The sequence below is a fragment of the Homo sapiens genome, chromosome 18 (genome assembly GCF_000001405.40).
Source record: "Homo sapiens chromosome 18, GRCh38.p14 Primary Assembly".
Lineage (NCBI taxonomy): Eukaryota > Metazoa > Chordata > Mammalia > Primates > Hominidae > Homo > Homo sapiens.
The window spans coordinates 23736440-23762361 of record NC_000018.10 but is presented as its reverse complement, the minus strand read 5'-3'; the positions used below and the strand labels follow the sequence as shown (position 1 = coordinate 23762361).

The 25922-nt window shown below is 42.8% G+C and overlaps 1 protein-coding gene across 13 annotated transcripts in view; it reads right to left on the bottom strand.

Annotated features, from left to right (window-relative positions):
• The window catches only part of LAMA3 (laminin subunit alpha 3), a 265614-nt gene that overhangs the window by 192705 nt on the left and 46987 nt on the right, over positions 1–25922 (bottom strand). For all 13 annotated transcript variants that reach the window (NR_130106.2, XM_011525978.3, XM_011525982.3 and 10 more), the window contains exons 3-7: positions 14302–14419; positions 12816–12934; positions 11274–11444; positions 8550–8641; positions 3851–3966 (exon numbers count right to left, since the gene is read on the bottom strand). Coding sequence is in view for 12 of the 13 variants with exons in the window: in XM_011525978.3 (XP_011524280.1) it covers positions 3851–3966; positions 8550–8641; positions 11274–11444; positions 12816–12934; positions 14302–14419 (616 nt within the window). In the remaining variant the exon portion in view is untranslated. The remainder of the gene's footprint in view (positions 1–3850; positions 3967–8549; positions 8642–11273; positions 11445–12815; positions 12935–14301; positions 14420–25922) is intronic.

Sequence of the window (25922 nt, the reverse complement as noted above, 5' to 3'; positions counted from 1 at the left end):
CCGCCTCGGCCTCCCAAAGTGCTGGGATTACAAGCATGAGCCACCTCGCCCAGCCATTAAGTAACCTCCTTAAAACTGTATTTTGTGCCGCAGCATCTTCCTTTAGGTCAACAACTTGAATAATATATTTATTTTATTTATTTACTTTTGCAACAGGATCTCACTGTCACCCAGATGGAGTGTAGTGGTGTGGTCACGGCTCACCACAGTCTCAACTATGTGGGCTCAAGTAATCCTCCCACCTCAGCCTCCCAAGCAGCTGGGACCACAGACACGTGCCATCATGACCAGCCAATTTTTAATTATTTGTAGAGACAAGGTTTCACTGTGTTGTCCAGGCTGATCTCCAACTACTGGGCTCAAGCGATCCTCCTGCCTTGGCCACCCAAAGTACTTGGATTACAGGCATGAGCCACCCACCCAGCAATATATTTATTTTAGTTGGAGTTTTTATTTAATTGCAATTAAACACTAACATTATTATTTATTACTGTGAAAGACCAGTATGTAGCTCTAATTTTTCCCTTAACAACTAATGTATTTAAATAGTATTAATTCAAAAACTTTTGTATATAATCTTTGTTTCATTATTTCTTTATTTTACTGGCATGTTTTATACATACAAAATTCAATAAAATAAAATTTCACTGTCAAAAAAAATACATCCAAATGCCAATTAAACTTCATGCACGAAGAGAATATTATTACTACCACTATTACTACTACTAACAATAGCAATTGAGCTCTTAACACACTGTGAAAAGTGCTTTACATGAATTATCTCATTTAATCTGTGCAGTAACTCTCTAAGGTAGGTACCATCATCCCTATAGTCCAGATTGGAAAACTGGGGCTTAGGTTGAGGAATATGCCCATCGTTACATAGCTTATAACTAGAAGAGGCGAAATTCCAACCTGTCTTTGTTTGACTGCAGAACCTATGCTCTTAGCCAACACTCTAAACCTTTCATTTCAACACTATATGGTAATCGTATGGGAATAATCTTAATGTTTAATTGTAGGGGAATGGCTCAGCAAGCAACAATATATTTGTTTGACTTTAAGTTCTATGACACCAAGGGCTGTATGTGTTTTGTTTGCAATAGAGCATAGTTCTCAGCACACAGTGGGTACTCAACAAACACTTGGAACAAAACTCTGTACCATCAAAAATGATGTCAAAGCATTTTTAATGATTGGGAAAACATGGGGAAATAGCTAAAAATATCAAGTGAAAAAATTAGGATATAAAATTATGTAGATTATATAATCTTGAGTATTTAAAGTATGTATAAAATACTACGTATCTAACAAAATATTAATAGTAGCTCTCTGCTATGGTCCGAACGCTTGTGCCCCCCCCACCCCAAATTCATAGGTGAAACCTAATCACCAGTTATTAGGAGATGGGCCCTCTGGGAGGTGATAAGTGCCCTTATAAAAGAGGCCCAGAAAGCTTCCTTGCCCGTTCCACCACGTAAGGACACAGCAAGAAAGTGGCATCTATGAACCAGAAAGCAGGCCCTCACCAGACACCGAATCTGCTGGTGCCTTACTCTTGGACTTACCAGCCTCCAGAACTTTGAGGCTATTGTTTATAAGCTACCCAGACGTTACAGCAGCTGAACAGACTAAGACACTGTTGGGGTAGTTAAATTCTTGGTGATTTTACTTTATTTATTTTTTTAATTTCCAAGTTATCTACAAGTAGTATATAACACTTCTAAAATTACAAAGTATAATTTAAAACTCATTTGGGATTTTCATCTTTGCCACAATGAAAAATATTTAACATGAGTAAAATTCTTATTCTTTCTTAGGCAGACTATATATTCATTATATTCTAATTACATCAAAATTTCCAAGTCTTGTTAGTAATTTGTATGTTTTAATCAATTTCCCAGGTGACTATGTGAAGGAAGACTTAATTAGATATTACACAAATTACCCTATAACTTGTAAAACAGGCTCAATGCTTTCTTATCTTCATTTTCTCTGTGGTGCCATGATTTTAAAAAATCAAGACATTTATATTTACTACATCAGTTAAGAAGTCTGTTTATTTTGAATTGTATATTTCAAAGGGAATTTAGAAAGCACCTAATAAATGGATCCTGATAGGTCTGATTTTCATGCACTATTTTTGTAACTTTTAACAATTTAATACATTTTAAAAGGATAAAAACTTATTAAAGGAGATTTAAATTTTTTTTGTATGTGTTGGAGTGAAGCATGTTATTTACAAAGGGTTCCATTAGTCTGGAAAACTAATCAGGTTGCAAATGCTGGAATTCATGTAATAATGGTTAATTCAATTAAAAATATCCTAAATCAGTGTTTGAAAGCAGCAAAAGAAACAACCCCTGGTTACTTTTATTATACCTTTCTCTCTCTCTGGTCCCCTCATCTGGGGTGAGCAATGGAGAAGTCATTGAGAAGGAACCGATTAGCTGTGACTATAAAGTGAGATGGCCATCCAAGCAACACCTGGGACTCAGAGGTGCGCCAGAGCATTTCCCTGAGATGGCCACAAGACCTTCCCAGAACTTTAGCATCTCTCAAAACTCCCTTGGAAGACCACTGGGAACACCTTTTACATAAGTTTACTGGCCATAAGAGATCATCAGTCTTATCTCCTAATAGTTACAAAAAATATTTGGTCAAAAAGTATAAAGTCCTATAATCCCAGCTCTTTGGGAGGCCAAGGTGGGTGGATCCCAAGAGGCTAGGAGTTCAAGACCAGCCTGGCCAACATGGCGAAACCCCATCCCTACTAAAAATACAAACAAACAAGCAAAATTAGCCAGGTATGGTGGCAGGTGTCTGTAATCCCAGCTACTGGAGAGGCTGAGGCAGGAGAACCGCTTGAACCTGGGAGGCAGAGGTTGCAGTGAATGAAATGTTTTCTGCAACTGGAATAAATATGTAGCTTCACAAGGAGATTTATTTAGAAGAAAATCTATAGTTGGATGTCTTAGGGTTTGTTTGTTAAAAATAGCAGTTGTCTTTCTTCTTTTTTTTTTTTTTTTTTGACAGGATCTTATCCTTTCACCCAGGCTGGAGTGCAGTGGCAGGATCAGAGCTCACTGCACCAACTCTTGGGCTCAAGCCATTCTCCCACCTCCACCTCCCAAGTAGCTGGGACTACAGGCCTGCACCACCACCTCTGGCTAATTTTTCAATTTTTTGTAGACAGAGTCTCACTATGTTGCCTAGGCTGGTTTCCAACTCCTGGCCTCAAGCAATCCTCCCACCTTTGCCTCCCAAAGTGCTGGGAGCCACCACATCAGGCCTAAAAAACAAAAACAAAAAAAAAACGCTTTTCTTACTTTATGTTACACTCTTAAAAGCAGTTTCCCAACTTTTTTTATTCCTTCTCTGGTCCTCTCCATCCTCCTCAATCCTACCATGTTACACTTCCCAGCACTCCATACTCCAGTACTCCCAGCTCCCTGTTTAGACTCAACCTTGCCGTCTTCTCTGGACCTTGGTCCTCAAAATAGTTGATTCCTATCCAGTATCACGTCCTATGAAATGGATAAGATGTTAAAATTTTATAGTGGTTGCATCATATTTATGATTGCTAAAAAAAGAGGTCAACGTATTAAAGCACGGAGCCCCATCATGCATGGTCATCATCATTATTGTTCTTTTTCTTCTCAAATGTACATCTGAATTCAGAGGAGGGCACTTTTCCCTGCAGTCTGAGGTTCTTATTACAATAGACAGACTTGAGCCCCTAACACTGACATGACCACAGCCTCTTCTCTAGCATGGGGAAAATAGCCTCAGCCCCCAGGGAGAGGGGGGAGAAGGCCACGTGTGGCCCCCACCCCATCCCCACACCCACCTTCACACTCGTGGCTCTGCTCCCAAGCGGCGGGCCGCCAGCGCCTCTGATTGTACCCTGTGCAGCAGCGATCACACGTCTCCCCACAGGTGTGGTGCTGGCATTCACACCGAAACCTGGGCATGTGGGCGAAGTGCATCTCAGTTATTGAAAAGTTTTGATGAGGATCAGTTGATCCTATAGTGCGAACCTGACACACGAGTCATCACGGTCATCCACGGCACCATTCATTGAGGAATTAGGAGAACACAACACTTCGCAAGTATTATTTAAGCCTCCCATATCCTGCTTATTTATTATCTCCATTTTACAGATGGTGAGACTGAGAATCAGAGGTATTAAGATACCTGCCAAGGGTCAGGCAGTGATAAATGGAGAGCCAGACTTCCAACCTCACTTGGCTCTGAGGCCCCAGCTCTGTCTTCTCTACCCCATTGTTACAATAAAGGAACACAGGAGCACTCAAGTGCTGACTTTACTGAGATGTGTTAAGTATCACACCTGCATAAAGATCTGGAGTCCTACGACTAAGATCTGCTCAAGTTTCTTACTCTCAACCTGTGGTCATGCTTTACCCAATTCAAGGACCAGCTGCTAATAAGATCCCAGAGGGCTCTGCTTCCAGAGGCTGCGCCAGCTCCATCATGGGGCCAAAAGCTGAGACCACTCAGAGAAGCAAAGGGTTAAAAGTCTCATTTCAAAAGGGTGTACATCTGCCTTAACATTCCAAGTTAAAATGAAATTGTTTCAGCCTTGGCTTTGGGTTGGAACTCCAAGCTTTGAGCTCCCTCCTTCCGTACTTGAAAGAGGATTCAAAACCATTGTCCAGCCCTGGTGTGATTCCGTCTTGCGCAGCTGTCTGTGGAGCAGGAGTCGTTCCTCTTTGTCTGCCTTCTCTCTCTCACCTAAGATCGCGCCACCACTCCACAGAAGATTCGATGGATGAGCCCCCTGAGGCCTCAGAACTATCTTTTTGGCAACTGCTGGGGGGAGCTGGAGCGAGGCCAAGAAGGGTCTAGTGGCAGTGAGGGTGGGGGCTGGGGAGGGGACTGGGGAGGAGGAGGGGCTGGAGAGGAGGAAGGGGAGGGGAAGGGTTAGAGGTGGGAATCCGGCTGCATCCCGGGCTGCTGGAGAGCGCCAAGCAGGCTGGAGGCCTGAGGGAAGTGGGAAGAGCTGCTGGATCTGGAAGGATGGGAGCCACGAGGCAGCCGGGGGCATGAAGGGGTGGGAAGACGGCCTGAAGCCTCAGGAGCGTGAGCCAGGCGAGGCCCAGGGCCTGAGGTAAGGTGGAACCAGCCTGCCGAAAGTTCGGGTTGCTTGGAGCTGGGTAGTGGTTGTTTTCCTAGGAGCGTGCGTCAGGTGGGCGTCCTAGGCTTCTAATTCCGGGCTGGGTTGGTCCAGGAGGCTGGGTTTGCGGGGAAGCACGCGCCTCCCTGTTGGAGGAGGGCACAGACGCCCAGCCTGGCGTTGTTCTCCAGTCCCCAGGCCTCAGAGTCTGGGGCTCCTGGACCCAGAATTCACCCTGGTGCTTCAGCCAGTTACTGGGGCGGGGCGGGGCGGGGCGGGGGAAGGGAGTGGGGGGCGGGGGCAGGGAACGGGGAGCGGGGAGGCTTGGAGGGGACTGAGGAGGCAACCACCACTGGGAGCACATGGTTGCCACGTGGTTGGGGAAGGACTGGGTGCAGGCGCCCCATCCAGGGCTCCCTGAGTCTTGGCACTCCCGAGCCTGGGATGCCGTGGCTCAGGTGAAGTGTGCTGGTAGCACCAGGATTCTGGAGTTCTTCGTCCGGCCCTTACAACATCTACTGTGATGGCAGCTCTCAGTTTTGGAGCCCCTTTCCTGTCTCACTGCGGTAGATGGAACTTGCCCCACTTTGCAGATGACGATACTGGTGCTCAGAGATAAACTCACTTGACAAAGGCCGTGATTGTAGGCAGAGACTAAATCTAAACCAAGATGCTTGACTCCGTAGCTGGTGCTTCCTGAATATCGTGAATATGAAAGAGGCTTTGGGTTTGGGTTGTGGGGTTTTTTTGGGTTTTTTTTGGCGGGGGGGTGGGGGCGGGGGAAGCGGCGGGGGTGTCCCCGCATGCCGTCGTTTGTGCGGCATTGAGCAAACAGCTTTTTTTTTTTTTTAAATATGAGAGACGTGCAGTGTTCGGTTTGAGTCAAATAAAGACCCGAGACTATTAAAAGAACAACAGCAAAATGCCTTGTCTAAGAAGGCTCTTGGCTGTGCCTGTAGGGATTCCATCAACTCTACTCTAAGGGAAGGTGGCGTGGCATATATTCAGTTTTATTCCCAAGAGAGGGTGTCATCCCTCTCCACACTCAACTGCCTGTTAAAGCACATGGACATAGATCTACCTGGCAGCACAGAACAAGTGGCATCCAAATGGGCCCTTGTTGGAGAGGCAATTTCAGCTCATTGCCAATTAAACATTTGACATTAGCTAGACTACAAGATTATTTAGGGAAGACTGCTTCAAGAATATGTAGTCCAACTCCACACATAGGGGGATTAAAATTGAGCATAGCAAAAAAAGGAGCTGGGTACCCATCTGAGTCCCATTGGCACTGCCAAATCACTGCTTTTCCTCTGTTGCAGCCCAGACTGATGGTTAATAATACACCTGCTGTAAATATGTTATTTAAAGATGTCATTGATTAGAGAATTCCCTTCGTGATGACCACTCTGCCCCACCCCTAGGGAAAATTGTTATTTGGCACTAGTGTCAACAATCATGTTTTTTCTAAGTAACTTATTACTTTTTAGCTTATGATCATAGTGAAATATGAAACCAAGCAGATTTCCCTTTTTGAGTTGGCTGCTAGGAAGCTCAGAATTAAATTTGAGGTCCTTCCGCTTATCCATGCAGCAAGGTCAACATGGTACACATGCTTGGTTAAACCCCTCTTCTTGGGTTCTGCCTCATTAGCAAGTAATTTTTCTGATTGTCCAGGCTTGGCTCTACCCATTAAGTTTCTGAATCCCTTTAAATTGTTATAAGATTTCTACCTCATCATGGATGTGGATTTCATCAGCATTTGTTCAAGTTCAGCCTGTTGGGCAGAAGCAAACCAGCAGACAAGGAAAGGCAGGCAGTCATGTTGAAGTGGATTGCTGCCAAACTGAGCCTTTCACCAAGGCTTGGGGAGACCTCCACACATGTGTATTGGGAGAATTAACCACCCAGTGTAGAACTCCTCCAGTTCTCCAGGGTCTCCAGGGTTCAGTAGCCTTTCTAAGCAGGAAGCTCATGCCCTCTGTGATGGCGTGTACTCCTTTCCCACATGGCAGTATTTTGTTCCAGGCTCAGGGACATTAGCTGGACCTCTTCTCTCCTCTCTCCAACTCAGAACTTATGTGACCTGATTTCTAGTGTCTTAGGGAGATAGGAGATTACAGGGTGGAAATAGATTAACCATTAATAAACAAGTCATTTTCCACTAAAGTTTAATCATTTTGTGCGTAAGCTCTCTCAACAGCACTGCCGAATCCTTGAAGGGGGAACAACAACATTAAGGGTTATGGCTGGTCAAGGAGAAGGGCCCCACAACGCACATCACAGACCTTGAGAACTAGCAATTCTGCCTGAACACAAAGCTAGACCTAAAGAAGCACAAGCCTGAATCTGACTAAAAGTGAAATACATCTCTGGTAAATGCTGCTCATGAAATATTGTAGACTTTAAGTTAAACATTGAGATAAAATGATTACTATATCTGGCATCCGGTAATTTCCAGCCCTTTAAAGTATCCCTCTTGCAGTGGTAACACAAATGTATGGCTGAACCTCAACATTTAAGACTCATGCATATTATTGTATGCAAAATATACTCAAACTAAAAACAAAAAGGGTACATTCATGTTCACAGCAGCCTTATTCACAATAGCCAAAAGGTGGAAGCACCCCAAGTGTGTATCCACGAATGAATGGATAAACAGAATGTAATATATACATATATACAAGGAAATACTGTTCAGCTTTGAACAAAAAGAAAATTCTGACACATGCTCAATATGGATGAACCTTGAGGACGTTATGCTAAGTGAAATAAGTGATGACAAATTTAATAACCCAGTATTTGTTGCAAAAGGACAAATACTGTATGATTCCACTTATATGAGGTACCTAGGATAGTCATGATGGTTGCCAGGGGCCAGTGGTAGGAGGAAACAAGGAGTTGTTTAACGGGTATAGAATTTCAATTTTGCAAAACGAAGAGTTCTGGAGATTGGTTGCACAACAACGTGAACATAGTTACCACTACTGAACTGTCACTTTAAAATGGTTAAAATAGTAAATTTGATGTGTATTTCACCACAATTTAAAAAACAAGGATTTGAAATGTATACCCTGATCCCATTAAACCAGGAATGACAAGTTTTATTTCTCTTGCCAGCTCTAATCAATTGGCTGCCTGAGGTATGTCTTGGGGGTGATCTGGTGGCTGGGACACAGATTTTCCAGAGTGCTGTGATTGATTAGCCGTGTCTGCCAGGGCCTATAGGGGTTATGTGAAAGAAAATGGAGAGTTGGTGGAGAGGAGGCACACACCCCCCACCTATTCATTGATCCTGAATCATTCCTATTGAGGACAGGAACCTAGAAACATTTAACGGGATGCAAACATCCACTGAAATAATTAGACTTAATCATAGTAAGGCTGAAAAAAATCTGTACAGTGTACTTACAGTTTTTCAGGATTGTTTATATTGCACACTTCAGCATGGCCATTGCAAACACACTGCCCACCAATGCTGATGTCCTTTATGCTGTAATAATACTGCACAACAGAACACAGAACATGCAAGTTTCACTGAACAGTGACAAAAACTTTCTCTTACTAGTCTTTAACCCACATCTGCTGCCTCTGCTTCCCTTTTAAAATTCCGTATTCTTGAGCCCTACATTGGGATGTAACATGTCTTATAAAATAAACACATTCCTCAATAAAATGTAATAACATACTGCTGAATTTGTGCATTTAAAAAAATCAAATGCTTGAAGTTCATGAAGGGAAATTGCCTTAGAAAGGAATCATACTTTATAGCCTATAGGAAAGGGATCAATTACTTCCAAGTTTATTTTTTATGTAAATTAAAATAATTTTTACATTATGTTCTTTACAAATGAATTTTATACATTGAAAATATTTATTTATCAAAACTAAATTTTTATACCAAAAAATGTTGCACTTGCTTTGCGCAAAATACTATCCCAGGTTCTGGGAAGGGAGATAATATTTACAGAGATGGATCCAATACATCCCTGAGACTGGAGGGGCCACCAGTATTTGCTGAAGACTTCCTAGCACAGGGTCAAAAAGGCTAGAGTCAAAGTTTCAAGCTCCAGAAAGGCCAGACAGAGCCAGCTCAGATCCAGCTGAGGATTGGCCCCTAAACCAGGCCACAAATATGTGTATACCCTCTCATTGACAAGGCCCCTCTCCAATATGTTGGAGGCCTCTGCAGTGCTGACAATAGGCAGCTCCTCCTGCCAGCTCCCTCTGCCAGCAACCTTCCTTCTCAGACTTGGCAGGAGACTGCCCAGGATTTGGGAGGAATGTGAGGACTGTAGAACAATCTTTCTCATTGAGGCCATGCTGCCAGTGAGAAGAATATCTGTCAGCAAGAAGTCTTTGAATTCGCAAGGACAAGAGGGTTTTTGTCCCTTTATTGTTGTTGTTGTTGTTGAGTGTGGCTGCCTTAAAGAGCTCTATTGATTTAATGTTGGGGTTCTGTTCTGGTTCCCTAATTAAAACCTGTTAAAGTATCAATGCTTCCTGGAAACATCTTAGTCTGAAGGCATTAACAGCCCCCCTTGTTAATACAGATAAAGTCAGTATTACCAGGGCTTTCTGTGACAAGTTAACACTCAGGGGCTTTCCTGCTGGCCACTGTAAAAGTTCCCCTCCACACGTATTAAGGGCAGCAGCAGCAAGAGAAGCCCCCAGTCAGCCTTCACCCAGCAGCACACGTGATCTGTGTCATAAGGTAGCTGGTATTATATTCCTCCATGAAAGAAGCAACCTAAACTTGGGGGGTTAAGATTATGTATTATGTGTGTGGTATACTCCATAAAACAATTATTTAATGGAGAGGCCTGTATTCATCTAAGTGAAAAGTAATATACATAGATATATATGACTGCAAATCTTGCAACCCCCAAAAAGACAATTTAAGAAAAAAAAAATTGGTAGGGTACATTTGTGGCAGTGCTCCAGGGCACATGGAGGAACAGAAACACAGCCCGGCTATAGTTTATGAGAAAGTCCAGCCCTCCCTTGTAAATATCCATCCTCAGATTCAACACAGTCCCCAACTACACAGAAGCTCAGAGGGAGCTGAGGAGAGCAAAAAAATACAAAAGATAGGCCACCTACACCCAAGGTGCCTGCCTTTCTGGAAAATGCTCAAAACTGTGGCAATACTTATACTTTTCCCTCCCTTCCTTTCCCAGCTCTCTGATGTTACCTATATAAAAAGCCAAACTCTATAAGGTGCACTGGGCATCTTCCATTCACCCTCCAGATCTGCTCTCCACGTTCTCCACCCTGTCCTGTGCCCAGGAGCTGAACTTTATGGTTGCAACCAATGGACTGTCTTTCTCTCTGGCTTCTTGTTTGCTTTGGCCAATGGAAGGCACCAGTAGATCAGAGGGTGGAAGAAGAGTGAGCTCAATGTGTTTATTCTGTGGGCTCCCTCTGTGCCCAGGAGACAAGTGTACTGCCCTGACACCTGAGAGTGAGAGATGTTCATGGTGTACCTCCAACACAGGAGAGGGTACTAGTGCTCACCAATACCTATGTGCCTCCATTTCAGCTAGATGACATCACCCAGCCTCCTTGCATCTAAGTGAGGCTATGATATGACCAGTTCTTGCCCATAGAAGTAACCTCTGATGAGAAGCAGGTAGATTTTTCTCTATACTCTCTCTTCCCTCATCTGAGGACCAAGAGGTAGGGGATCCAGAGGAGGACTCTGAGGTCCTACAAAATGGCTGCACCTCTGGATAGAAAGAACCTGCTTCCCTGAATTACTGTGTGGAGCCGATCCTACCTGCTGACCCATGTTAAACTGTAATAGGAGCAAGAAACAAAGCTTTATTTTGTTAAGCCACTGAGATTTGGGAATTGTTGGCTGTAGTATTAATTATCCCATCCAGACTAGTACCAGGCTGACTATAATCATTTGCCTTTCATCTTCTTTGAATATAATGATTTTTCTTCAAACAGCCATTTTTATAAGTCATTAGATATAAACTCCTAATTATATCTAGTATTTCAGATAAGAACAACTCCCACACCTACATCATTACAGGCTATAAAGGTTACTTAAAAGAGTTCAAGGCAATTAATTTGGTAAGCCAAAAAAATGAATAAATAAAGTAACAAAACAAATGCTCTGACTACTCACCCGCCGAGTGACAGTTGGATCTCGCTGGGCTTTGGAGATGAGGTGTCCAAGAAGCGTATTGGTTCTAAGAAAACGCAAGCGGATGTTTGTTGCCTTGGTAAACTCCCTCAGGGTGTGAGAGAAAGTAAAATTTTTTGCACCTGGACGACCGTTTATCAAGGACACCACAACCTAAAATGACCACACACACATAAAGGGGGAAAAAGTTCCTTTTATCAAAATTTAGCAGCAAGTAAGTAAAAATAACTCACATGCCCCAAGGCACTTGGTTTCTTTGAGCCATTTGATATTCGTAGGGGGTCTTGGGTCTTGTTTATGTCTAAAAACATCATTGCTAGTCCCATCTTCCCTCACACTTCCTGGTTCCAAGGTCTGGCAATACGTCTTTGAAATCTGGGCTCTCGGGAGATGTTATCATTACGTTTTCAAAGCCTTTGTTCTATCAGGGTAGTTGTGGGACTGTAACACTATGAAATGTTGAAAACATAATGTTAAAACCTGTAAATATAAGGACACAACTTTCTTAAGCTGCATCAAAGAAACAAAGCTAAAGTAACCCAAAAATCTACATGAGGTTGAAAAAAGGAAATCTCTAGATATAAAGTTTGACAGTAATGGGGCAAAAAAAAAAAAAAAAAAAAAAAAAAAAAAAAAAACTGTGTAAACCCTCCATTTTGTTTTAAAGCCCAAAGTGATGAAGCCCAAGTGTCAACCATTGGAAATATGAACCACTCATGAGCTGTCAGAAGATACCGCATACACATGCTCAAGTAAGATCTCTCTACTTAAAGAGAGGGAGGCTGACACCTTTGAAGGAAGTTTATTTGAAACTCAGTTCATATTCATTATGGCCTCACAATTTCCATGGAAATCTTCTCTGATTGTTTCACCTTTGTTTGCCCATCTCCCTTAACAATAGCCAACCTGACTTTACAAGGGCCAAATGCAACCCCACAGGGACAGCAATTTTTTCTCTCCAACAGATTACACCCATTCTACCAAAAGGGATCAGGGATCACGTAGGATCGGCTCCATGCAGTCATTCAGGGAAGCAGGCTCTTTCTATCTAGAGGTGCAGCCGTTCTGTAGGACCTCAGAGTCCTCCTCTGGATCCCCTACATCTGGTCATCAGATGAGGGAAGAGACAGTATAGAGAAAATCTACCTGCTGCCACCTGTCCTTCCTCTCCTCACTCTTACGGGGTATCATGGGATCATAGGTGAAGAGGTAAGGGGTCATCATTTCAGTTACCAGCAACCCACTTTATAAATACATCACCAGAAAGGACAGTTCAAGACCTGCGGGCTTTGGATCAAGAATCCTGACTTTCTGGGGATAACTGAAATCCCCCAACAGAATTTCCAACCTGGCTCATTCTGGGAGCCCTCAATGTGATTCCTTTACTGTTCAGTCCCAAGCCCTGTTTCCATCTTGATCTATGTTAGATGTCCTTGAAAGTGCAAGTTTCGCAATTATGAAAAATTGGATATCCTCATGGTCATTTCTGAGTCTTATCTCTCCCAGTCTTCCAAATCTACTTACCTCACCATTTTCCAAAGGTACAATACGGGAATATTCAGTAACACAAAGTACATCATCATCCCGGGTGACAGCCATATTTGCCTCCCGCCCAAATTCTTTTAAACAGTCTACTTTAGAATCTAGAAGGAAAATATTTTAATATTATAAAACAAAATATTATCATTTTGTTGCAAATCTCTTAAGAAGCCTTATGTTTCCTTAAGAAAATACACAAAGAAAGAAAAAACAGAAAGGCATTTAAAACTTTTAGAGAAAGGCTGATAATGGAGTTTTTAATTCATGAAAGAAAATACCAAGCCATTTCAGGCCAGTTGACTTTCAGTGGCAATGCTTGGAGATGCAGTGCTAACTCCACGCTCATACTTAGGCAAGTTTATCTTCTAAGGAAACCTAGTGGAAAACCCAATGCCTTTATAAGCAAAATTCTTGTCCACCTCTGTTCATCATAGGGTTCAGAAACCCTGACATTCTTCATTAGTGAAGATAACAGAGTTGAGGTAAGTAAAGCACAGCACAGGAACTATAAAGATGGAACTTAGTTTCTAATTCTGCATAAAGGGGAAAAGATTGGAGATGACAGTTATTAAAGTCATCTCATCAATTCACAGCTTCTACCATCTTACAGGTACTCCCAAATAGTGCCAAGAACTGTTATCATAAAAGGAGTTTCTACTTCATTTCTGCATGTAGTATCCTTGAAATTATTGAACACATGCTTGAAAAATGGGGATATTCTTTTTTTTTTTTTTTCCAAGATGGAGTCTCACTCTGTCACCCAGGCTGGAGTGCTGTGGCACAGTCTTGGCTCATTGCAACCTCCGCCTCCTGGATTCAAGTGATTCTCCCACCTCAGCCTCCCGAGTAGCTGGGACCACAGGTGCACACCACCACACTTTGCTTATTTTTGTATTTTTAGTAGAGACAGGGTTTCACCATGTTAGCCAGGCTGGTCTCAAACTCCTGACCTCAAGTGACCCGCCTGCCTTGGCTTCCCAAAGTGCTGGGATTACAGGCATAAGCCACCGCGCCCAGTCAATGTTCTGAGAGTAATTTAGAGGTTAAAAGTGACCAGTCCCTAACTAGTCATACTGAGAGATTAATTTTCTTTTCTTTTTTTTTTTTTTTTGAGACAGAGTCTCATCCTGTTGCCCAGGCTGGAGTGCAGTGGTACAATCTTGGCTCACTGCAACATCTGCTTCCTGGGTTCAAGTGATAATCCGACCTCAGCCTCCCGAGTAGCTGGGATAACAGGCATGTGCCTGGCTAATTTTTGTATTTTTAGTAGAGACAGGGTTTCACCATGTTGGCCAGGCTGGTCTCAAACTCCTGACCTCAGGTAATCCACCCGCCTTGGCCTTCCAAAATGCTGGGATTATAGGGGTGAGCCACCACACCCAGCCAAGATTAATTTTCTAATTAAATCCATAGTCTTTATCTGTTCCAAGTAATTAAAGCCATGCATAACATGGTAGGCAAGATTACTTACGAGCAAAATATTGCCATGGTGAGTAGGTGCTTCCAAAGTCTACAGATCTTTCCAAGACCCAAAGATCAGGGCGAGGAGAATTTGCAAATTTGATTAAAATATAGGCCACATGGAAGAGCTGATAAAACAAAAGAGATACAGTTATTAATGTCATCTCATCGATTCACAGCTTCTACCATCTCTATGTGATGCTGATTCCCAAGGCAACACGTCCCACCACAATCCCTTGCTCAAGATCCCGATCCTGATTCCTGTCTATTGGACATCTCTACCCAGCTGCAGCCTCTCAAGCTGATCAAATTCAAAACAAAAATCATTATCTTTCTTTCTCCACCAAATATACACATTGATCATCATCTTTGTCACACCTTAACCAATATGCCATTCCATTGCAACCAGTCTACAGTGTATCTTAAAGTCTATGCATTCAGAAAAGTCTGATGGCAAGCAGTAGTCATTACGTGCTAAACCCTCCCAGGGCCAAGAACCAGGAGAACAGCCCAGAGTGTTTCCCAGCAGTGTCCTAACCCTGGTTCCAGGTTTTGGAGAGATCACAGCTGCCAGAACTGAAACCCAAGCAGCCATTTGATGGAGTGGTAGCACTCCTTCCCTGTGGATCTCCTCCGGCCTCATCTTTTCCTGATTGTTCTCCCTCTTATTGGCTTTCTCATTCGCCCTCATCACTCTTTTGCCCATGGCCAGGATGATGCAAAAGTATGGAAGAGATGAAGTGGGGCTTCGGTCCTTCTTTCTTCACCTCCCACTCTTCAACTCCATGGTGCCTCATGTGTGAATCCCAGGAGCCTTTGCAGTTTATTCCCATTCCTTCCCCCAAAACTTATCTGGCTTGAATTTTGAACCCTGAGGTCCTATTTCCCAAAGAGCCTGGTACGACATTGAACACGGTGTTAAGCAAATCTATGTTAATGTGTTAATGAGTGAGGATTATCCCCACCCCCTTCCAGGCTCCCTGACCCCCAGGCAACAGATTTCCCGGTGACTGTCTGAGGAGCACTCGCCTCTAGCCCAAGAATGCCCTTTGAACCACAGGCTCCTCTAGTTGGGGAGTAGGGAGTGCTCAGACCCTGTGGGTTCCTTTTCTTTCCCAGAAAAAAAAAATGAGTTTCATCTTAATATTTTTCACAAACAGTAGTATGGTAAGTTGTTTTTTTTTTTTAAGTCTGAGAACTGCCAGCTAATGTAAACATTCCAAACCCCAAAGCAGAAGCCAAAAAATCTAGGACAATGAGACTCAAACTTTTTGGTCTCAGGACCCCCTTTATATTTTTAAAAATTATTGAAGACCTAAAAAAACTTTTGTTTGTATGAGTTCTATCTATTGATGTGCACCATATTAAAAATTAAAGTTAAAAAACTTTTAGATATACTATTAATTCATTTAATATAACAAACATTTTACATGTTAGCATAAATATATTTTATTAAAAATTACTATATTTTCTAAAACATGAAATTTTTGGTGAGAGCAGTGGCATTGCTTTACATTTTTGTTAAGCTCGCTGAGTTTGGGGCTTAATAGGAGAAAGCTGGATTCCCACACCTGCTTCTTCATTCACTCTGATGTGATATGTTGTTTGGCTGAAGTATTTGAAGATCTGGCCTCACATAGATCTGTAATGGAGGAAGGAGGACCCCTGGCCTTGTAGACCTCCCAAAAGGTCTTGGGGACCCTCACAGGTTCTCATCCATACTTTGAGAACCACTCCTCTCAGGCACAGAGATTTACCCTTTGCTCAAAGAAGCCCCTTTGCTTATCTCTGAGGAAGGAAGAATTGTCACACTGATTACTGGAAACCCTAAGCTCAGCCAGTTCTGTCCCTATCAAACACTTGCTCTTTGATCTTGAAAAAAGTGCTTATTTGGGCTCAGATTAACACTCCCGAGTTGTCTACCAACACGTGGAAAAAGTGATCCAACCTCATAAAAACTAATTAGGAATTATAATGTACTCTGAAAATCATAAAGCAATACTCTAAACGTAGGTGTAACAATTTCCAAAGACACATCCCATTATTATGTAGTGAAGGAATTCATAGGAAATCCAAGAATTCATGTTTGGAAAATCAGAGCTAATATATTTCGCTAAAAACTCTTTGCACATCTCTCTCAGACCACATCAAAATAAGGCCACTGTTAATTATGTGAGTTTGATAGACTACAAATGAAACTTTTTTGAATACAGTAATCATTCAAAGCATTCTTAATCCCTTCCACCAAACTCCCACAATCATAGCACACATAACCCTCTAAAAAACTATTTATCTAATAGGTCATGATTTAATGAATAATGAATACTGTCTTTCCACATACCATGTTAAGCACTTCACAAACATTCTCTCATTTAGACCTCATAATAAGAAGCGGAGTTTTATTAACCCCACTTTAAAGATGAGGAAAGTTTGGCCTAGAGAGGTTAAGTAACAAACCCACACCTTGCAGGTATAAAAACACTCAGCCTAAGTGTATTCCACCCACTGAGTGTTTGCTATGTCACAGGACCTAATAGGTACTGAATATTTGACGTGTTTCATCTTGGGGGGAAGAAGTTGTCAGAGAAGTGCCAAACATTATTTCCCAATATGCTAAAATTCTATTCTAGAGAGCCCAGGGGTGGGGAGCTATGTTATGATATATCTCAAGTGTTAATTCAGGGCATTGGTTTTCTAAAGTTGTACTTTCTGCTACTACAAAGCTATATGAAAGAAGTAGCTTCAGTGGCTCAGAAGGGAGCCTCTCTGTCCTCTCCTACAGGACAGCTCAAAGAACAATACAATGAATACTCATATGCTTTTCACCTAGATTCACCAACTGTTAACAATATACCATATTTTTTTGTTCTCTACACACACACACACACACACACACATTTTTGATTCTTTGAAAGGAAGTTACAGACATCATAATACTTTCCTCCTAAATACTTCAGCATGTTATCTTCCAAGAACATGGATATTTCTTCTACATAAATTCAACATTTTCATGTGTAAGAAATTTTACCATATATTCAAAATTGTATTTAATACATTGTCCATATTCAAATTTCCCTGATCCTCTCAATAATCCCCATTGTATTATTTTCCCATTTCGGAATTTAATCAAGGATTACATATGGCAGTGAGTCGTCAGGTCTCTTTTGTCCCCTTTAATCCACAAGTTTCATCTTGTTTCTAGGTAACGTTTGATTTTTTTTTTTTTTTTTTTTTTTTTTGAGACAGAGTCTTGCTCTGTCGCCCAGGCTGGAGTGCAGTGGTGCGATCTTGGCTCACTGCAAGCTCCGCCTCCCAGGTTCACGCCATTCTCCTGCCTCAGCCTCCTGAGTAGCTGGGACCACAGGCACCTGCCACCACGCCCGGCTAATTTTTTTGTATTTTTAGTAGAGACGGGGTTTCACCGTGTTAGCCAGGATGGTCTCGATCTCCTGACCTCGTGATCCACTTGCCTCAGCCTCCCAAAGTGCTGGGATTACAGGTATGAGCCACCGTGCCCGGCCAGATTCTTTTGAAGCATTATGACACTTAAAAATCCCAACTCTAGCAGCAATTGATGTGCCCCTCTGCCTGTTACAGTATCCTGCCACCCAGGCCTAACTTAATAAGTCCACTGATGGCACCAACTCATCTTCCAGCACTAATTAGCTAGAACATGCCACTTTTCAATGTTTCCCTCCCATTTTTGTCTCAGGAATTATTTCTGAGGTTCCCCAATGTATGTTTATGTGCTCTGAATATTGGTAGGGTGTATCTCTTTGGTTTGGATCCCATTTGCACCAAGCGACTATATGTGTTATTTATCACCACCCCTGCTGTGTAACATGCCCTGGAATCTTGCCAAGGTCTCCAGCTCTGCAGCAAATCTCCTCTGACACTTGCAGATTCAAAATGTCATAGTGAGGCAGAGTGAGTGGTCTCATAATTATGTTCACAGCCAGGTTCAGGCATGTTAAGCCAACAGGTAGGGATTTATTCTGTTTTGGTTGGTAATTTTAAATTATATGCTTGTTGAATCACTCCTTCTGCTACATTCCTTTTTTACTCTCAGTACTTATGTTTACTCTTTGGCCACTGAAAATACTTCAAAGCACACATGAGTGCTGCTAGAGATTTGCTGATATAAACGAGGACCCTCTGTGAGACTAGAAAGCACCAAGCTATGGAGCCACTGTAGGTAGAAAGGCAAAGTTGTGCATTTTCAAAGAGATCGTATTTGGGGGTCAGAGATAAGGGGAGAAATGATGGAGAGGGACTGAGTTGTAATCTCTCCACGTGCTTTTGTAATAAGCTAAAGATAGCTTGAAGTGTGTTGGTGATTGTTTAGGTAGAGAAACAAAGTAGTCTTTTAAATAATGTTTTAATAAAGCAGATAATGATCATAAAAGGGGGAGTGTGAGGCACTTCAACTTCAAAAGACTTCAGGGTGAGTAGGGAAGACAAGAGGGTGTCCTCTGATCCTTGTTTCTCACCCCAGTGCTGCATGCTCTGAAGCCTCTGAAATTATAGATTGGTACAGCCTGTCCTCTATTCATTTCAGGGCCTTCCTGGACTGACTGCATGTAATAGGTGTTCAATACATGCTATGAATGAATAAATGAGTGGATGGATGGATGGATGGATAGTAAAGCTGTGTAGCTGCTACTGAGTTCAAGGGGCAGGTACCATTTGGCAAACACAGAGACAGAGCTGAACCCCGAAGTGGTCCTACCCTGGTGTCTAAGCTAAGTTGTAGTAGAATCAACTCCCCTGGGGGGGATATCTCTGCCCTGTCACCCACTGGCTATGTGACTCCAAGTACATGACTTACCTACTCTGAGATTTCATTTATTTGCTCATAAAATGATCAAAAAAGATATTTAAGAAAATGAAGAATAATATCTACTTCATACAAATTTGATATTCTCCTTCTAAAAGAGCACCTGTCATGCACTGCGGTACCTGTTTTCATCTGTCATTCCCACTAGGCTGCACCATCTTTGGTCTTAATCACTCCTATATCCTCAGAAAAGAGGCTTAATACATGTTGTTGAATTGAAATTAAACTAACAGACGGGATTGTGAAAGTGCAAAATACTGTGCAAGTACACTTAAAGTCACATACAAAATAAGCTTCCTACTCAACTAAATAGTACTCCCTGTGCCAGAAAACTCTAAGTTTATAATAAAAGTGAGATCAGTCTGTCAATAGCTTTATAATTTAATAAACATACTATTCCACAAGGTAGCATTTCATAATTTACTTCTCCCAACTTTTTATTTTGCATAATTTGTAAACCTACAGGACAGCTCAAAGAACAATACAATGAATACTCACATGCTTTTCACCTAGATTCACCAACTATTAACAATATACCATATTTTTTGTTCTCTACACACACACACACACACACACACACACATTTTTGATTCTTTGAAAGGAAGTTACAGACATCATAATACTTTCCTCCTAAATACTTCAGCATGTTATCTTCCAAGAACATGGATATTTCTTCTATATAAATTCAACATTTTCATGTCTAAGAAATTTTATGGATATTTCTTCTATATAAATTCAACATTTTCATGTCTAAGAAATTTTACCATATATTCAAAATTGTATTTAATACATTGTCCATATTCAAATTTCCCTGATCCTCTCAATAATCCCCATTGTATTATTTTCCCATCTCGGGATTTAATCAAGGATTACATACGGCAGTGAGTCGTCAGGTCTCTTTTGTCCCCTTTAATCCACAGCAGTCCCCCAACATGTTTTGTCCTTCCTGACACTGACATTTTGAACAGTCCAAAATGTCCCACAGTCTGTTCTAAGTCTTAATGTTCCATCATAGAATTGGTCACAGAATCACAGAACGTCCCACAGTCTGAATTTGTCTGCTTATTTTATCATAATTTGACTCAGATGGAGCATTCTTGTTTGTTTGTTTTGAGTCAGAGTTTCACTCTGTCGCCCAGGCTGGAGTGCCATGGCACGATCTCGGCTCACTGCAACTTCCACCTCCTGGTTTCAAGTGATCCTTGTGCCTCAGCCTCCCTAGTAGCTGGGATTACAGGTGTGCACCACCATGCCCAGCTAATTTTTGTATTTTTAGTAGAGATGGGTTTTCTCCACGTTGGTCAGGCTGGTCTCGAACTCCTGACCTCAAGTGATCCGCCCGCCTCAGCCTCCCAAAGTGCTGTCAGGTGGGGCATTCTTGGCCAGATCACTAAGTGGGTGGCACTTCCTTCTCATGATGTCACCAAGAAGCACGTGAAGCCAAGCTGTCCTATTATTGATAATGCTAAGTTTCATCACTTGCTTCAAAAGATGTCCATCATATTTCCCCATCGTAAGTTACCTTTTTTACATTTGTAATTAATAAGTAACCTGGGGGAGACACTTTGAAACATTTATTTTTATTAACTAAATTATAAATGCCCCTACTACCCAGGTACAAAATACAAATACAAATTATGAAAAATAAGTCACTAAATATAGAACCAAGCAATTACATTTACTTTGTGGTTGGTGTCCATTTGAAAAACTGATCAACTGAGCCAATTTTATAGAGTTTTTTTAATTGAGAAGAAACGATGGCGATTAAAATTCAACTGCAGTTTATTAACCTGGTTTGACATTTTTTTACAAAATGAAGTACAATCCTCACAGAACAACCAAGGCCAGGGATGAAAATACAACCCAACCAGTCTGAAAAGGGATCCTTTTAATCCTGGCCCAAAGAGTCCATCTGCCAATAGTTCAGCAAGAACACTTCTTTCTTTTGGGTTTATCATCACCCTGTGCTGAAAAACTCAGGCCCTGGCACTATCAGAAAGAGTATGCTTGGCTCTGGGAGGCCAAGGCGGGTGGATCACAAGGTCAGGAGATCGAGACTCTCCTGGCTAACACAGTGAAACCCCGTCTCTACTAAAAAAAATACAAAAAAAAATTAGCCAGGCGTGGTGGCAGGCACCTGTAGCCCCAGCTACTCGGGAGGCTGAGGCAGGAGAATGGCGTGAACCTGGGAGGTGGAGCTTGCAGTGAACCAAGGTCGCACCACTGCACTCCAGCCTGGGCGACAGAGTGAGACTCTGTCTCAAAAAAAAAAAAAAAGTGTGCTTGGTTTAGGTCTAAGGAGTACTGACTCTCAGCTCCTCTTACTGGTTCCCAGAAGTACCTGCTCACCCAGAGGAGGGAAGGTGGATCACTCCAGAAACTTAGAGGAAGGGCCTCAAGAGGTCCCTAAGTCCCCTCCCACACTAGCATCTCATTCTGAGGGGAACTCACTGCATTGCTGACAAGTTCTGGCCATTACAGGTTTCCTCCATGTTTGTCAAAAACTTTCTCTCATCAGCCCTCTTTCCCCTGTGGAGTAGCACAGATGTCTACTCTCCATCCCACATGGCAGCCTGCCCAGAATTTAAATGCCCACACCCTGTCTCCCTAGGTTCTTTTAAAAAAATCGAGATTCAAGTCAGCAGGAGGCAAAGATTAGGGTGGAAACTGGAAAGGAGAAGAGAGAGTGTCTCACTTTCTAATATAAAAGAACCACAGGAGCCTGAGAAATAAAATCCCTACACCAAAACTCAGTCTAAAGATTTGGGTCACCACAACAACTTGGAAAATGACAATCTTAATGAAAGATTTCAGGAAAAAAAAAAATGGTAAGACAAAGGGGAAGTTGTTAGGCATGACACATAGATTTTATACGTATAAACTTTGAACTCTAGGGGAGGAAAGAGAAGGATTGATGACATATGGCATAATTTTCAGTCCTAGTGGTCTTTAATCATTACTCCCTAAATAGACTTGCAGAACTTGAGACCAAACTGTTACTCAAGAGCATTTTATCCACAACTAACAACTTACAAATAGATTTGGTGGTGACTATAAATAAACTGAGGTCTGCCGGAACCCAACAGCTCTGAGCTCAATTTCATAACTGAGTCTTGTCGTTTATCCTACTCTCTGTAATGACTTTCAACTGTCATGGATTTGTTTTGTCTCGGACCTGGTTCTCCCTGTAAAACTCACTTTTTCTCATTCACACTTTTTTGCTGAACTGATGAGTAGCCTAAGAATGTGTCTGACGAACTTTACAGAACAAAGAAAATTCTATAGTCATGTTCTTCCAAAACAAAGAGATTTAACTAACTCAACTTTAATAACCAGCAACCAAGTTACCTAAATCCTCCTTCAATCTATTTATATTTTTTAGACCAAACAACTCCTAAAAATATATGGATTTTTATAAGTGGCTTACACCAGAATAGGCTTCAACAAAATATTTCTCAGTGATGATAATTTGTCCTAAATTAGATTCTAAATGATGTTATTGTTGTTTTTCATAAGTAAGTTCATACCCTCCATAACACTCCAGTTTCCTCCTCTTGGCCAATATGCTTCTATCTAAAGAGTGTTAACATTTCTGGTCTGCACTCATAATGGTTCTTTCCAACTTTTAATTGTCATATCTATTCCCTTCTCCTTCTGTTACATCTTTCTTAAGATTCAGCATCCTTGGCTAACTCAGAGTTTTACTTAAGGCTGAAATTATCCTTTGCTGTTTTTCCAATGCCCTTACTCATGTCAGGACACTTCAGAAACGTTTTTGACTACATTTCTAAAGGGCATAACGAAGCTCACTTAAATTGGCTCAGTATGTTTAATTTTATTAGTCAGAATATTTATTTTGGGAGTGAGCTTTATGTCGGAGTGTCATTTCAAATCAGCTGGGCTACAGATTAAATATTCTTCTTAAAACTTGCCCTTTGCCCAAAAGCTGCCTTTGCTTTCTGAACACTATATCCCTTAATTTGGTAGTTGTCGTACCGTGGTCTGGGGTGTCTGGAAAATTGAAGGGGATATTTTATTGGTTGTCACAATGACAAGCCCAAATAAGGTAAGAGGCTGTGCATCTGCAGAGGCACCAACCTGCACTCTAAGAAGGTCACAGTTCCAGGATTAGGAGGCCACTCTCTGGGTGCTTGGGTGTAGCACAAGGGACACTGGGCAGCTGTCCAGAGTAAGGCCAGAGAGGAAGCCATGGTGCAGGTATCTGTCTTTTGTTTCCTTGACTTCCAAGGATCTGAATCCCCTTTCCACCGTATGAATCTTGCTGGGAACAGAATGCAACTCCAACTTTAGAAGCTGAAAATACCAGCTTTTTCAGCTCCCCTGGCAGGTAAGGCAGCAGGGATGCACCCGCTGGGCTCAGTGAATTGCATGATTCCTTCCAAGAGTCTGCATCTAGAGCAAGTGATGCAAAAAGGCAGAGACACTGAAGAATTCTTTCTGGAAGTGGCTGTGATGGCAGCACCATCTCACTTCCAGGGACAATGGCTGATCCCAGCAGGGGTGTCCTGAGTCCCCTGTCCAGGCTCAGGGCTGACGTGTGGTCAGGACTAGCCACGGCAGGTAGTGTTCGAACACAGCTGTGTCCTCACAGGTGGGCTCTGTGCCTTCTGCTGCTGTGGTCCTGACTATGCAGCCTTCTTCACTTCTGCTCATTTTCTGGGCCTGATTCTCCATGCTCCTCAAACTCCCACCACTTCCCACCTATGCTCCCTCCACCCTCATTGAGTACTGTTTTTCTTTCACTAGCAAAATCAAAACCACAAAAAAGGAACCGCTTCCTTTACTTTCCCAAGTCTACGAATACATTTGCATCTGCACATCCGCTCCTTCTTCTCTCCAGAAGGAGGGAGGGAGGAACCTCCTCCTGTCAAAAGCCAATCCCTCCCTCTGCTTGCTAGATTGCACTTCCCTGCCTTCTGTTGGACCCACCCATCATCAGCTTGCAAGTGTCTCTCCCATCCCAAAGAAAACGCCTCTCCTTCCATCCAGATCCTCTTCCAGCCCTACCCCACCTCTCTTCTCCCCACACATCCACACTTCAACTGCTGTGCGGGGACTCACTCCCCTCTGCTCTTGCAGTTCTCTCAGAGTTCAGGTCCCAGTCCAGGCTTGCCTCCCTCCACACTCTACTTCCATCTTATACCACCGACGATTGATTTAAATTTCCAGCCCAGACTTCTCACAGAGACTTCAGAGCCGGATTTCCTGGAGGCACGGCACTTCCACCCCAGCTCAGCGTGACCCAAACTGAAGCCTGACCCCAGCCCCCTGGAGCCTGATAACTCCTACTTAAGCTCAGGCCTCCGCTGAGCGGTCCCTCTGGGTAGTTGTCTGCATTCTCTGCTTTGTGCAGCACTGCACTTCTCCTTTAAAACACTCCTCACAAGAGTGATTAAATAGTCAAGTCTAGAATGCACGTGGCCTTGTGAATACAAAACACGCACTCAGTCTTCTGGCTCGCTTCTCACCTGCAGCAGGAATCCTCTGAGCCAATGCTGCTGTGGGCCAGGGCAGGGCCGGTAACCTGCCTGGATGAGGGCGATGCTGAGAGTCAGCCAGAACCCTAAGGATTCCACTTACTTGGCGTAAAACAGGACAGCTCAAAGTCACTTTCACTGTGATGAGAAGGCACATCCCAGGTGAACTCTTGGATCAGGATGTCAGAACTTCCCTTGAGTTCCAAATGCCCCCACATAAATGTTCTGGCTCTTCCAAGGACCCCAGCAGGCATCTTTCATAGCAGAACAAATGTGTGGGTCAGAGTGACATCGCAGGGCAGGGGGGCTATGAAAGGTCACCACGGAATGGGGTGAGGGAAGGTGGCTGGGAAGGGGAGTGAAGTGCGGGTGGATTCCATGCCTGATGCACAACAGAACTGGGTTTCCGCCCCATCAGCATAGGCTGGGAGCCAGGTGACTTGATTGGAATGTCCCTGAGCCTCAGTTTCCTGAAATCCAGCTCTGGGATGTCACTGCTGGGAACTAGGGCAGGGATGGCAGCCTACCCCAGAAGGGACATGGAGTACAACAGGAGCCAGGGAGGTGGACAGGTAAGCCAGACAGATCTGCCTCAGAAGGTGTGGATTAAACAGAGAAACTGGAGCCAGCAGTCTTGGCTCTGGGCACACCCAGCGAGCCTGGGGGCAACATATCCTACTCTGCCCACTGGAGGAGGGGACTAGTGGTGGGGGTGGGGGAAGCATTTTCCATGCCAGCAAGGACAATCCCACTAAAAACAATCCAGCTACTTCTAGGGGAATGCAGTCTGGGTCTTAAGAGGGTAGGTGGTAGTGGCTGAGCATTCTGGAGAGGGGCCTCTGGGCTGGAGTAAGGGAAACCCCAAGGTCCCTCATCCCCAGCGTCCACACAATGACAGGTCTTCCCCTGCACACCTTCCTTGGACCCAGCTCCACCCCCTTCCCTTAATCTCTCATCCCTTTGTCTTCCTTCCTTAAGCTTTTCCCAATCCTGGGAGCCTTCTGTGCTCCCTGTAACCCAAATACTACACAGAGAGGATTTAGGATTTTCCCCCAAAATCAGTATTGGCTTCTACCACTCTATCTTGCAAATGTGAAATATTAAAGCTTTTATAACTACATGGGACTAGTTGAGTTTTTTGGGCATAGCTTAAGGGAGAATTCTAATTTGTAACAGTTTTATTGGAAAAAATGCAATTTAAGTTTGAAATATCTGATGTAACTTTCGGTACACACCTCATTTATACCTGTATATGATTTCCCCCAAGGCAATATTATATAAAATAATCTAATGTTG